General features: G+C 35.8%; 1 long non-coding RNA gene across 1 annotated transcript; it reads right to left on the bottom strand.

Annotated features, from left to right (window-relative positions):
* Nucleotides 1–7,705: 7,705 nt before the first annotated feature.
* LOC105369410 (uncharacterized) lies at nt 7,706–15,613 on the bottom strand. Its single transcript, XR_950358.1, has 3 exons — nt 15,534–15,613; nt 14,299–14,378; nt 7,706–7,741 (listed from the first exon to the last, which is right to left on the bottom strand). It is a non-coding gene; the product is annotated as an uncharacterized LOC105369410 (long non-coding RNA).
* Between the last annotated feature and the right edge of the window lie 206 nt (nt 15,614–15,819).

The following is a 15,819-nucleotide window of genomic DNA, read 5'->3' as shown; positions in this document are numbered from 1 at the left end:
ACCAACAGGAACTCGAACTCGTATGTTCATTGCAGCAATTTCATTTCAACATGAAATGAACTCGTATGTTCATTGCAGCAATACCCACAATAGCAAAGACAATAAATCAACCTAAGTGCTCATCAACAATGGATTAGATTTTTAAAAATGTGGTACACATACACAATGGAATACTATGAAGCCATAAAAAAGAATGAATTCATTTCCTTTGCAGCAACAAGGATGCAGCTGGAGACCATTACCCCAAGCATATTAACACAGGAATAGGAAATTAAATACCACATATTCTCACTTATAAGTGGGAGCCAAACATTGGGTACTCATGGATATAATGATGGGAACAAGTTTGAAAAACTAACTATCGGGTAATATGCACACCACCGGGCAATGGGATCAATAGTACCCCAAACCTCAGCTTCATACAATATGCCCATGTAACAAACCTGTGTATATATCCCCTGAATCTGAAATAAAAGTTGAAATTATATTTTAAAAAATTTATCACATCAGTCTGTGCCTTGAAATTTTATGAGGCTAATAGGATAAAAATCTCAGTCTTTTTCCTCGTGGAATGCTAAATAAAATAGAGCAAAGTATATATAATTACAGATTATTATGTTTTGTGTAGTGAGCAGGGATTATGATGGTATTCTGGGAGTGGAAGGAAGGGCCACGGAAGATTTTCAAGCAAGGATGAACATTTCCTTGAAGACTTGAAGAATAGTGTGATTTTAAGAGGAGGAAAGAGGGAAGGGGGAACAGAACGAGTGAACAAAGACATGAAGGTATTCAACATTACAGCCCATTCAGAAATGTGAGACGTTTAGGGTGGGAGGATGGCTAGAACATAGAGAGGTAAGAGAAGAGTCTGAGGGGATTGGCACAGGGTCACATCACAGTGGACATTATAAGTCATATCAAATTGGAGTTAATGTTATAGGCAAGAAGCGAACATTGATGTGTTTTAAGCATGAAAATGAAAGGATAAGAGTAGCAGTTGAGTCAGATTCATCTGATAGAAAGTTGGAAGATGGATTGGAGGGTTAGGCCTGGAGGAAAGATACCAGGTTTAAATCACCTAGGTTGGAGATGCCACAGGCCTGGTCCTAGAGGATAGCAGGTTATTAGAGCGAAGTGGTAGATGAAATCGAAAAGGCTGAATTGGTATAACTTAGTAACTTGGTGGGATGTGGGATGAAGGACAAAACGGTGTCCAGAAGGCCTCCTGGGTTTCTGTCCTCACTGATTGCAAGGATCATGGCCACAGTGTGTGAGACAGGGAGCACCCAGCAGGAGCAGATTTGGTGAGAAGATGAGGACCACATGGGACATTGCCATGGGCCTCATACCTGCTCTTCTTACCATTAGCCTCTCAATACTTTCACTGTCAGGGTTCTCATTATTCTCTTTATCACCTCATGCCCAGACTATTGCAGCAGGCTTATCGCTGGCGTGTAAACTCTTTAACTTTCCTTGAACACAGCTCTGATGTGTCACCCTTACACTTAAAGCATTTTAATATCTCCGAGGTGCTTCTAGAGGCCTGGAATTCAAGGTCTTACACAATCTCATCCCAACTGACATTTCCAAGCTGATTTTCTACCATTCCCTCTAAGCAGGAGCCTAATCTGTCATAGTTTCAAGAAACATGATGTAACTTGGAAAACAAATGTGTATGTGTGGTGCTTTTGTCAAAAGAAGTTAGAGAAAGAAAAGAACCACACTTATTTGAGAAACTAAAAAAGGCATCAAGGATAAAATAGGACCTATCTTGGGTTTTGTGGTATAAATAGGGAAAAGGTAGGTGACAAGGAGGAGGAAGGCGTATCTGGTGGGGTAACAGCGTGAGTACAAACATAGAGACTGGAGATGTGGAAGGAAGGGAGCAGGAAAGGCGGTGGCAGGGAAGAAACTGGACTGACAAGAATAGAGGGTGGGCCAGAGTAGGCTATAGTTCTAGGGTCTTGGAGGGTGCAGCTTTTGTCTTCTGATGCAGTAGTATAATTTTAAATGTGAATATTTACTGATAATTCTGTATATATAATATCATGACTGGAAAATCAGCATGAAATAATATCAAAACACCTTGAGTTATTAAAATATCTTCAGAATTAAACCTTACATTTCCACAGTGCCTTACAGATTACTAAACATTTTCACTGAGGCCCAGAGAGGAGCAGGGCTTTGACAAGGCAGATCTTGGATATAGGTCTTTTAACCCCAGTTTTCCCACTAAAACATAGCTGCCTCTTTTAACATATTTTAATGTCTAAACAATCATAGACCCTTTTGGGGTAGATCAGACTACAAAGGTGGCTCAGATGGATTGTAATTAGTTTCTTCAGGATCTTGTTAAACATCTCTTTATTGACTTTTGTCCTCCAGCTGAGAAGAAGCCAAAAAAAAGAAAACAAACAAGACATGCCACAAACTGCTGCTATAAAGGTTCACAAATAAGGTCACACTGCTGAACACAGCTAGAGAGGCAACACAAGACTTCACTATGGTTTTCCTCACAGATTGGAGTGCAACGAAATAATTTAGGGGCACCCTGATGCTGGTGTTTGAAAACTATTAATACTTCAAATTTCAGAAGTGTAACACTTGTTCTGGAAGAATACAATCCCTGAATCCACTGGTCTCTCATTCCACTTTGAAGTGAAAGATGCTGTTTCATAGATGATTGTGTTATGAACATATCTTTTCAGCACTTTAACAAGAAGTCAATGTTATGTTTTGAAGCAGAGTGCCAGGAGGAAATAGCTCATGCCAAATCATTGGGATTCAAGTTGTACAACAAAGAGGAATCTATTGATTTTTTAAAGTAAGTTTGAAAGGAAATTATCTCCTGAAAACATGTTCTTCTCAAACAATGGGGGTTTGCATGAAAAAACCTAAGACTTCATAGAATTCCAGGAGTTATGTGTCTGTCATGGGAAAGACTGTGTCTGAGTCTTTTCTGGACACACAGAGAACACACATGAGGTCTATGATAGTTGCAAATATTTTGGTACCTGTGTGGAAATTGCTAAAACCTGAAGAGGGAAAGAAAAAAACACACAATCAGGATTGTGGATATGAGTGACAATATTCTCTCAATGTTTATCAAATAACTGTTATGGTAACTACGATGGCTGTACTATAGTTACTATTGTGTTAGGCATGGCACTCTGTGCGTCATCTCTCAAAACACCCATTTCATTTTATTATCACTTATCCAATCTCTTTTTAAATTGATACATGATAATACATATTTATGGGTACAAGTGGTATTTTGATATTTTCCATACAGTGTGTAATGATCAGGGTATTGAAATAACCATCACCTCAAACATTTATCACTTCTTTGTATATCTCCAGAAGCAGGGGCTGTGGCTTCCTTGTTTCCTATATCAACAGTACAGTATCTGACAAGTAACAGGCACTCAATAACTATTTAATGAATGAAAGAAGAAGTGTTTGAGGTATAAAGATCAGATCAACAGTAGATAGATACTTAAGGAGGCAAAACAGAGCGTATATAAGTTAGTTAAAAAATCTTTTTATTGAGATATAATTCACATTTCATAAGATTCATACATTTAAAGTATATAATTTACTGATTGTAAGCATATTCAACCATTAATACAATCTAATTTAGAACATTTTCTCTACTTCCCCCCAAAACTTCATACCCATTAGCAGTCATTCCTCCCCAAATATACACAAAGCCACTAATATAGCTTAGTCCTGGCAGATAGCATGTAACATGATTCATAATTTTTTGAACAAAGAGTCGTATCCTTCTGGAGCTGTGGATTTTCTTAAAGAAATTCCTCAGTATCTGACATGGGGAAAAGAGGGACCTGAACTTGACATCTTATCTAGGGCTGAGTCTGTTGAGATGTTGCTGTTGGACAGATGGTAGGAGAGAAGCAAACCAGAAGCAGGAGTAAGAACATTCAGCCAGGAGTGAGTCAATCAGCCGAGGGAAGTTTGTTACTGAATATGAACCTACCTTAGGCCTACGAATGTGGAATACAGAGTCTGGGAGCTCAGACAGAATCGATAAAAGTGAAAATTGCGAATAGGAGATTCTGGAAATCAGCTCTGATTTCAAGATTTAGACCCTTTGCTCTGCTTTCTGAAAGTCACTGGCTCCTGACCTTTAGGGATTAGTCCAAGGCAGGCATTCAGAGAACATGGGAAAAGCATCTCAATATTCTAGTAGGAAGTATGCACTGTTTTAGAAGCATTTGAATTGATGGAAAGTCTGAGAGAAAAATTGAAGAGAAATGTTAATTTTATTTGTTCAACAAATATTTATGTTTCACATACGACAATCCATGCTTTATTCCAAGCACTGCGCATGCAACACTGAACAAAAAACAATGGGCAAAAATTTACCCTTAAAAATAATTTACATTCGCAAGGGATATACAGACCATAACAAAACACACACACACACACACACACACACACACACACACACACACGAAAACAAACATAGTTTGTTAGATGATAAAGAAGACTAAAAGGGGAAATTAAAGCAGCAAAAGAAATAGGGGAGCAGGGCAGGAAGGAAGTGATTTTATATGGTGACCAGGGAAGGTGATATGATTTGGGTATGTGTCCCCACCCAAATCTCATCTTGATTTGTAGTCCACACCTGTTGAGGGAGGACCTGTAATCCCTACGTGTTGAAGGAGATAGGTGACTGAATCATGGGGGTGGTTCCCCCATGCTATTCTTGTGATAGTGAGTGAATTCTCAAGAGATCTGATGTTTTTTTAAGGGGCTTTTCCCGCCTTTACTCAGCACTTCTCATTGTTGCCGCCATGTGAGGAAGGATGGTTGTTTTGCCATGGGGTCCCTCCATTTCCTTCTATCAGGTACCTCATCTAATGGCAACTAAGTAATCTAGCCCCATGACTTTCCACTTCTGTGATCTCAGGCAAGCCACTTAACCCATCTGTTTCTCGGTATTTTATCTTTAGAATAAGGTTGTTATAAGGTCAATAAAGCACTAGATAATAATTTAGCATAGTTTATGGATTATTTTAATCACAACATTTATTTGCAATTTTTATTGTTCTTATTAATGTTACTAATATTATGGGGAGATCTACCATAGTAAAAATTAAGAAGCTGTATAAATGTATAACATGGTGAACTATAACCTAAATGGAGGTATAAACAAGCTAACCTACTCCTGTGCCAATCACTGAGTTTTGGCCAATCAAAGGAGGCCATCTGTTCAAATTGTGTTCAAATTAGGCATACAACAAGCTGTAAATAATACAGCTATTTCTATACTTCACTTCCATTTTCCATACATCACTGTACAAGGACCAAAACAGCATGGTACTTGTACCAAAACAGACATATAGACCAATGGAAGAGAACAGAGACCTCAGAAATAACACCACACATCTAGAACCCTCTGAGCTTCGACAAACCAGACAAAACAAGCAATGGGGAAAGGATCTCCTATTCAGTAAAAGGTGCTGGGATAACTGGCTAGCCATATGCAGAAAACTGAAACTGGACCCCTTCACACCTTATACACCTTATACAAAAATTAACTCAAGATGAATTAAAGACTTAAATGTAAAACCCCAAACCATAAAAATCCTAGAAGAAAACGTAGGCAATACCATTCAGGACACAGACACTGGCAAAGACTTGATGACTAAAACAGCAAAAGCAATGGCAAAAAAGAAGCCAAATTTGACAAATGGGATCTAATTAAACTAAAGAGCTTCTGCACAACAAAAGAAACTATCATCAGAGTGAACAGATAATCTACAGAATGGAAGAAAATTTTTGCAATCTATCCATCTGACAAAGGTCTAATATCTAGAATCTACAAGGAACTTGAATATATTTACAAGAATAAAACAACCTCATTAAAAAGTGGGCAAAGCATATGAATGGCCACTTCTCAAAATAAGACATTTATGCGGTCAACAAACATATGAAAAAAAGCTCAATATCACTGATCATCAGAGAAACGCAAATCAAAACCACAGTGAGATACCATCTCACACCAGTCATAATGGTGATTATTAACATGTCAGGAAACAATATATGCTGGAGAGGCTGTAGAGAAATAGGAACGCCTTTACACTGTTGGTGGGCATGTAAATTAGTTCAATCATTGTGGAAGACAGTATGGTGATTCCTCAATGATCTAGAACCAGAAATACCATTTGACCCAGCAAACCCATTACTGGGTATATACTCAAAGGATTACAACTCATTCTACTATAAAGACACATGCACACATATGTTTATTGCAGCACTATTTACAATGGAACCAACCCGAATGACCATCAATGATAGACTGGATAAAGAAAATGTGGTACATATACACCATGGAATACTATGCAGCCCTAAAAAGGAATGAGACCATGTCCTTTGCAGGGACATGGATGAAGCTGGAAGACATCATCCTCAGCAAACTAACACAGGAACAGAAAACCAAACACTGCATGTTCTCACTCATAAGTGGGAGTTGAGCATTGAGAACACATGGATACAGAGAGGGGAACAGCACACACCAGGGCCTGTTGGGGGTTGGGAGTTGAGGGGAGGGAACTTAGAGGATGGGTCAATAGGTGCAGCAAACCAGCAAGGCAGATTTATACCTATGTAAAAAACCTGCACGTTCTTCCCATGTATCCCATTTCTTTTTAGAATAAGGAAAAAAACATAAACTGTGGGTTGTTGATATGAGACTATATTTGAGATCAAATATTGGGTGAAAAAAGTTGATTATGACTTCTCCCAGTAATGGTAGAATGAGTAATTTGGGCCAATACTACAACTGAAGATACCTAGAAGATCTAGATAAAATGTAAACATAAATCTGCTTAAGGATATTGAAGACCTATCAAGACAGTGCCAAATTAACAGTTGGACAGTGCGGAGGACTGATAACCAGATAGTTCAGCCTATCATTTGGGACCATTTCTTCATGGGGAGTTTGTTTTTTCTAGAAAGGTCCCGACAGTTAGAGAGCCAAACAGTTTTTTGTGTCCTTGTAGGTCACGCTGCCCTTTCTTTGTGCAGTAACTATACAGCAGTAAAAGTAAAACCAAGCTGGGCCTTGGAAAACAGCAACCAAAATTCCAGCACTCTAATACATAAGAGCTTCTTTTTGTTTTAGTTTCCTCATCTCCAAAATCAGAATATCAGGACATATAATACATAGTGCTGGAAGCTTTTAAATAATTCAATATATGTGAAAATTCATGGTCTGATGCCTGACACATTAAATAATTTATTTTTTGCTTTTTCAGTTTAAATTATTACAAAGCAACATAGGAAAACATGTAGTTAATCAATTCAAAACTATAACCAAGGATTCAGTAAAAGTCATTAGAATGATTTATTCACAAACTTCCAGTTTAAAGATAATGCATTCACAGAGAAATGATATATACTTGAGGTGATGCATATTCTAAATACACTGACTTGAGGACAGGCACAGTGGCTCACACCTGTAATCCCAGCACTTTGGGAGGCTGAAGTGGGTGGATCACCTGAGGTCAGGAGTTGGAGACAAGCCTGACCAATATGATGACACCCCGTCTCTACTAAAAATACAGCAGTTAGCCAGGTATGGCAACATGAGCCTGTAGTCCCAGCTACTCAGGATGATGAGACAGTAGAATTGCTTGAACCCAGGAGGCGGAGGTTGCAGCGAGCCGAGATCATGCCACTGCACTCCAGCCTGGGCGACAGAGCGAGATTCCATCTAAAAAAAAAAAAAAAAGAAAAATAAATAAAAGAATAAAAATAAATAAATAAATAAATACACTGACTTGATCATGATCATCATTCTATGTTTGTAACAAGATATGACATATATCCTATAAATATGTACAAATATTATATATTAATAAGAAATTTAAAAAGATAATGCACTGATTAGCATTGCACTTCGTAAATTAAGAATTTATAATTTATGTAAACACTAAAATTATTGACCATTGCAAACATGTGAAGGGGAAGAAATAATAAAATTAGTAATCTGACAGGATAAATAAAAACAGACCAATAGGAACATGGAATTAGCCAGAAAAATACAAATCACTGAGTAACACTGTAAGCTTAGACCTGCATATATCAATAATTACTTTCAATGTAAATGGTCTAAGTGTTCTTATCAAAAGATTGATATTTTTAGACTCAACTAAAATACACTTAACGTATTGAATTTTAGAAATCTTGTAAGAAATACAAGGTGGCAAAAAGTTTAGAAGTAAAATGATGAAAAAGCGTGCATTATGCAGACACTAAGTGAGAGTGTTTTCGTAGCCATATCAATATCAAAGACTTTAAGAAATTATAACATAACTGGGAATGCTTTTCTCAATTAGAAAAGGTTCAATTTATGATGACAATATAACAATTCTAAATTTGTATGCACCCAACAAAATAATCCTAGAATATATAAAGAAAAATTTAACAAAACTAAAAGGAAAAACAAATAAATTCATAATCATATGGGAAGATTTTCAAATTATTTTCTCTGCAATTGACAGAGCAGATAGGCAAAAATCATTAAAGATAGATATTATTTGAACACCTTAACAAAAGTGGCCTAGTGGACTTATATAGCACACTGAAGAATGCGTGTGTATTTTTCAAGTACCCATAGAGCTTTACCAAAATTGACTTTGCCTTGTGTTGTAAAACATTTTTTTCTCTTTTTTTTAACTTTTATTTTAAGTTTAGGGGTACAAGTGCAGGTTTGTTACATAGGTAAACTTGCATCCAGGGGGTTTATTATACAGATTATTTCATCACCCAAGTATTAAACCTAATACCCATTAGTTATCTTCCCTGATCTTCTCCCTCCTCCCACCCTCCATTCTCCAAAAGGCCTCAGTGTGTGTTGTTTCCCTCTATGTTTCCACATGTTCTCATCAGTTTGCTCCCATTTATAAGTGAGAACATGTGGTATTTGGTTTTCTGTTCCTGTGTTAGTTTGCTAAGGATAATGGCCTCCAGCTCCATCCATGTCTCTGCAAAAGACATGATCTCCTTCTGTTTTATGGCTGCATAGTATGCCATGGTGTATACGTACCACATTTTCTTTTTCCAGTCTATCATTGATGGGCATTTGGGTTGATCCTCTGTCTTTGCTATTTTGAACAGTGCTGCAATAAACATATGTGTGCATGTGTCTTTATAATAGAATGATTTATATTCCTTTGGGGTATATATCCAGCAATGGGATTGCTGGGTTGAATGGTATTTCTGTCTTCAGGTCTTTTAGGAATTGCCAAACTGTCTTCCACAATGGCTGAACTAATTTACACTCCCATCAACAGTGTATAGGTGTTCCTTTTTCTCCAAAACTTCACCAGCATCTGTTATTTTTTGGCCTTTTAGTAATAGCCATTCTGACTGGTGTGAGAAGGTGTCTCATTGTGGTTTTGAGTTACATTTCTCTAATGATCAGTGATGCTGAGCATTTTTTCATATGATTGCTGGTTGCATGTATGTCTTCTTTTGAAAAGTGTCTATTTATGTCCTTTTCCCGCTTTCTTATGGGGTTGTCTTTTTCTTGTACATTTGTTTAAATTCCTTATAGATGCTGGATATGAGACCTTTTTTAGATGCATAGTTTGCAAAATGTTCCTCCCATTATGTAAATCGTTTACTCCGTTGATAGTTTCTTTTGCTGTGCAGAAGCTCTTTAGTTTAATTAGATCCCATTTGTCAATATTCGTTTTTGTTGCAATTGCTTTTGGCATCTTTGTCATGAAATATTTGCCGGTGCCTAGGTCTTGAGTGGCATTGCTTAGGTTGTCTTTTTATAGTTTTTATAGTTTTGGATATTACATTTAAGTCTTTAATCCATCTTGAGTTAATTTTTGCATATGATGTAAAGAAGAGTCCAGTTTCAATCTTCTGCATATCGCTTACCAGTTATTCCAGCACCATTTCTTGAATTGGGAATCCTTTCCCCATTGCTTATGTCAGTTTTGTCAAAGATCAGATAGTTGTAGATGTGCAGTCTTGTTTCAGTGTTTTCTGTTCTGTTCCATTGGTTTATTTGTCTGTCTTTGTACCAGTATCATGCTGTTTTGGTTACTGTAGTGCTATAGTTTGAAGTCGGGTAGCATGATGCCTTGGCTATACAAGCTCTTTTTTGGTTTTATATGTTTTAGAGAGGCATGAGATATCAATCAATATATCCAGATGTACATTGGTTCCATCTGGAAAGGCGGGAAAACTTGAAGCAGGGAGGGCCTTCCAGGTCACAGGTATGTGAGAGCCAAAGTTTACATTATTTTGAGTTTCTGATTAGCCTTTCCAAAGGAGGCAATCCAATATGCATTTATCTCATTGAGCAGAGGGATGACTCTGAATAGAATGGGAGGCAGGTTTGCTCTAAGCAGTTCCCAGCTTGACTTTTCCCTTTAGCTTAGTGATTTTGGGGGCCCCAAGATTTATTTTTCTTTCACAGTTCCATATTAATTTTAGAATAGTAAAATATTTTTTAACATTTTAAAAGATTGAAATTACATAGAGCATAATTTTTGTCCACTATAATAGAAAAAATCTAGAAATCAATAATAGAAAAATATCTAGAAAATATTAATAACTATATATAGTACAAATCAAGTCCTCTTTTTCTAAACAACTCATGGTCAAAGAATAATTTATAAGATAAAGAAGAAAATATTTTGAACTGAATAATAATAAAATATGATATCTTAAAACCTGTACACTTCAGGTGAAGCCATGAACTAGGGAAATTAATGGCTTTAAATGCATGCAATTGAAAAGAAGACTGAAAATTTATGACGTTAATATCTATTTTCAGAAAATAGGAAAAAATACATTTTTTGCAAATATACCCAACAAAAATTTGTACACGTAGGCATCAAAAGACCTAACCAGGAGTGTTTATAATAGTTTTTTTTTTAAATAGCAAAAACTTGAGAATAAGTAGTATTCATCAACAGCAAAATGAAAAAATAAATTGTAGTATATTTCCCTAATAATGTACTGTACAGCAATGAGAATAAACAAACTACTGCTACATACCACTATATAGATGAATTTTATATTCTTAACGTGGTGTTAAAGAATTTAGACACAAAATAATTGATATGGTTTTATTTAACCAATTCCAGATGTACATGAAAGTAAACTATTATTTTAGAAATCTGCTGGGGAGAAGCGGCAATGTGACTGCATGTACTCTGGTAAATAAATAGAACTGACAAGTGTGCTTGTGCAGTTCTCCATAGGTATGCAATAATTCAACACAAGCTTTTTAAAAATAATTATGGGATGCCAATAATACTATGACTAGAGTGAAATTTATAGCTTAAATAATCTATTACACAAAGAAAAAGACAAAAATCAGTAAAATAGGTATTCATTTCAAAAAGTAGAAAAATGACTATAGTCACTTTGTCATTGCCATTAAATTCTATGTCTATGTGATTATTATGCATTGCATGCTTGTATTGGGGAGTCTGATGCACCTCATAGATATACACACTTATGTACCTACAAAAATAAAAAATAAAATAAAATGTAGAAAAATGATAACAAATTAAACTTCAAAAGCAGAGTGTGATAAATTAGAAAGGGATGAGCAAAAATTAAAGAAAAAGATAAAGAACATATGAGAGATCAATGAATCTAAAATTGATCCTTTAATAAGACCAATAAAATTGACAAGCTGCTGGTGATACTGATAAGAATAAAAGAGCAGGCTGGGCAGGGTGGCTCACCCCTGTAATCCCAGCACTTTGGGAGGCTGAGGCGGGCGGATCATGAAGTCAAGAGATTGAGACCATCCTGAACAACATGGTGAAACCCTGTCTCTACTAATAATACAACAATTAGTCGGGCGTGGTGGCAGATGCCTATAGTCCCAATTACTCGGGAGGCTGAGGCAGGAGAATCGCTTGAACCCAGGAGGCAGATGTTGCAGTGAGCAGAGATTGCACCACTGCACTCCAGCCTCGTGACAGAGTGAGACTCTGTCTCAAAAACAAACAAACAAAAATGAAAGAACAAAACACACAACAATACCAGGAATGAGAGTATAATTTCCATTTGAACAGACTTTCAAAATACAAATTTTTATGCTAATAAATTTATATAAAATGGAGAAAGCCCTAAAAAAATACATCTTACAAATTTTGACACAAAAAGAAATAGAAAATCTCAATCATCTTAGAATTACTGAAGACATTGAATCCATAATTTAAAAACTATCCTGGACAGAAGATACCTTCATCTATAAAATATATAATATATTTAAGAATAAATAACAGTTTGAACTTTTTTTTCCACAGAAGATAGAAAAAGAAGAATGACACTGAAGCTCAGTTTATAAAGGCAATATAATGTTGACATGAAAGCCTACAGGACAGTTAAGAGAGAGAAGACATAGAATCCCAAACTGTAAAAAAGTGTAAGGAACTGAATTATGCAATATATTAAAAAGATAATGTATCATAATTAAGTTGAACTTACTTTATAAGTGCAAACTTATTTGAATATTCAAAAATCTACGTGTCTACTTTATCAACAGACTAAATAAACAAAATAATTATATGAATATATCAATTGACACAGAAAAAGCATTTGACAAAATATAACATCCTTTCAAGATAAAAACTCTCGGTACACTAGAATTAAAGAGGAACTTATTTAATCTGGTGAAGACACCTACCTAGAGCTGACGTCATACTTAAACATGACAAAAACTGAATGCTTTCTTCTTAAACTCAAGAATAAGGCAAAGATGTTGCTCTCTCACTATACACATATTTAACAGTGCTGGAAGGTCTAGCCACTGCAATGTGGTAAAAAAAAATTAAATAACTGGAAAGAAAAAATATGACTGTCCTTATTTTCAGACACTAATGCTTGTGAAGGTACAAAACTTCAAGGAATATACACATACACACAAAATCCTGTAACAAGAAAGTGAATTCAGTAAAACTACAGGATACAAGACCAATACATAAAAATCAATTGCATTTCTACATACTGACAACAAACAAGTGGAATCCAAAAAAATAGCATTTACAATTACCCTAAAAAATGAAATATTTAGTTATAACTCATATAAAACATGATCAAAATCTGATAAAAATTATGAAACACTGATAAAAGAAATAAAAAAATTACCTACATATTTGGGAATCATGAATTGAAAGGCTCAACATAGTATATATGACAATTTTTCTTAAATTGATATTTAGTTTTAATATACATTGTCAGAAATTCAAGTGCTTTTGTAGACATAGACAGCTTATTCTAAAATTTATGTGTAAATGGAAAGGCCCTAGAATAGCTCAAACAATTTTGAAAAGAAGAATAAAGTGGGAAGAATTACTTTGCCTAATAATAAGGCTTGCTATATAGTTTTAGTAATTAAGACATTGTGGTACCATCACAGAAATAAACACATTGATCAATGGGACACAATAGAAAACTCAAAGATAGATCTATACAAATGTCCTCAATTAGTTTTTGACAAATGAACACGCACAATTCAATGGAGAAAGGATAAGACTTTCAACATACGATGCTGTGGTAATGGGGCATCTAACAGCCACTCCCCAACCCCCTCCCCTGCAAAAACAAAAACGACAAAAAAAAAAAAAAAAGGAAAAGAAAAAGAGAAACTTAAACTGAACCTCACGCATTATACAGAAATTAACTAAAAATGAATTATAGACTTAAATATAAAATTTAAACCTATAAAACTATTAGAAAAGACCATGGGAAAAAATTTTCAGGAACTAGAAGTAGGTAAAGGGTTCTTAGATTAACATCAAAAGCACAATCTATAAGAGGAAAAATAGATTGATTGTTAAAACAATGAAAAAACAAATTATAGAGTCGAAGAAATATTTGCAAATTACATATCTGAAAAAAAGCCTTGAATCTAGAATACAAAAAGAACTCTCAAAACTCAACATTAAACATCAAGTTATGTGCAAAAAACGTACGGAGATTTCACTGAAATGATGTATAGATGATAAACATGAGAAAAATATCCAATATTATTAGCCATTAGAGAAATGCAAATTAAGATTACAATGTGATATCCACCTACTAGTATTACTGAAAAAAAAATAGTGATAATACCAAATTCTGGCAAAAATGTGAGAAACTGGATCACTTATGCATCCCTGGTAGGAATGAAAATGGTGCCACCCATCTGAAAACTAGTTTGGCAGTTCATTTCAAAACTAAAAATGGACTTATAAAATGACCTAGCAGTTGTATTTGGGCATTTATCTTGGAGAAATGAAGACTTACTTTTCACATGAGAAATTATAAATTAGTCTTCACAGAAACATTATTCTTAATAGCTTCAAATTGGAAACACTCCAAAAGTCCTGTAATGGGTGAATGGTTAAACAAATTGTGATGTATCCATGCCATGAAACTCTACTCAGCAATTAAAAAGGAACAAACTTGATATTAATACATGCAACAACTTGGATCAACCTCAAGGAATTTCACCTAATAGAAAAAGTTCAATCCCAAAAGGATACAAACTGGATGATTTTAAATAATGTAACATTGATGAAATAGAATAATTATGGGTATGGAGAATAGATTCATGTTTTCTAGGAGTTAAGTATTGGGGAGGGAATAGGGAGGGCTACAGAGAGATAATGTGAGAGAGTCCTGTGTTGATGAGTATTAGTTGAGTATTAGGATTGTGATGGTGGTTACAGGAGGATATCTGTGTGATAAAATTGCAGTTGTTCACACATGAATGAGTGCAACTAAGATTGGTGAAATCTGAATAAGCTCTATAGCTTATCGTAATGTAAATTTCTTGGTTTTGAAATGTACTAGATTTGTATAAGTTGTTAACATTGGGGAAGCCTGGATCAAGCATATACAGGACATCTCTGGGTATTTCCTTGCAACCTTCTGTGAATCTATAATTAGAATCTATAATTATTCAAAATAGAAAGTTAAAAAATCTATGCAATTAATCCCATTAACAAAATAAAACATGAAGTTTGTGTGATCATCTCAGAAGATGGAGAAAAAGTTTAAATAGATTCAACAGGAAGTTATATTTAAAAAGAGAATTATTAGGTATTAATAGAGAGAACTTCCGGCCGGGCGCAGTGGCTCACGCCTGTAATCCCAGCACTTTGGGAGGCCGAGGCGGGCAGATCACTAGGTCAGGAGATCGAGACCATCCTGGCTAACACGGTGAAACCCCGTCTCCATTAAAAATACAAAAAATTAGCCGGGCATAGTGGCGGGCGCTTGTAGTCCCAGCTACTCGGGAGGCTGAGGCAGGAGAATGGCGTGAACCCGGGAGGCGGAGCATGCAGTGAGCCGACATCGCGCCGCTGCACTAAGGCCTGGGCGACAGAGCGAGACTCTGTCTCAAAAAAAAAAAAAAAAAAAAAAAAAGAGGGAACTTCCTTAAATCTAACAAGGGGTACCTTTAAAAAAGCTTATAGAAAACATGCTAAGTGGTGAAATATTGAAAGCTTTTGTTTTAAACAATACAAGATACTCACTGCTGTGGCTTGAATGTTTGTATCCCCTCCAAAATTAATGTAGAAACGGAATCCCCGAAGCAACAGTATTGAGATGTGGCTTTCTGGTAAGGATTAGGTCATAAGGGCTCTACCCTCATGAATGGGATTCATGACCTTATAAAAGGGCCAGGGGGGATTAGATGGGACATTTTTGCCCTTCCATCATGTGAGGACACAGTGTTTGTTCCCTCTAGGGGACACAACAACAAGGCACCTTCTTGGGTCCTAGAAGACGGGGTCCTCACCAAACACCAAACCTGCTGGC

Source organism: Homo sapiens, chromosome 11, assembly GCF_000001405.40.
Source record: "Homo sapiens chromosome 11, GRCh38.p14 Primary Assembly".
NCBI lineage: Eukaryota > Metazoa > Chordata > Mammalia > Primates > Hominidae > Homo > Homo sapiens.
Note: the sequence above shows the minus strand (reverse complement) of the source record. Positions and strands in the feature narration are given on the sequence as shown.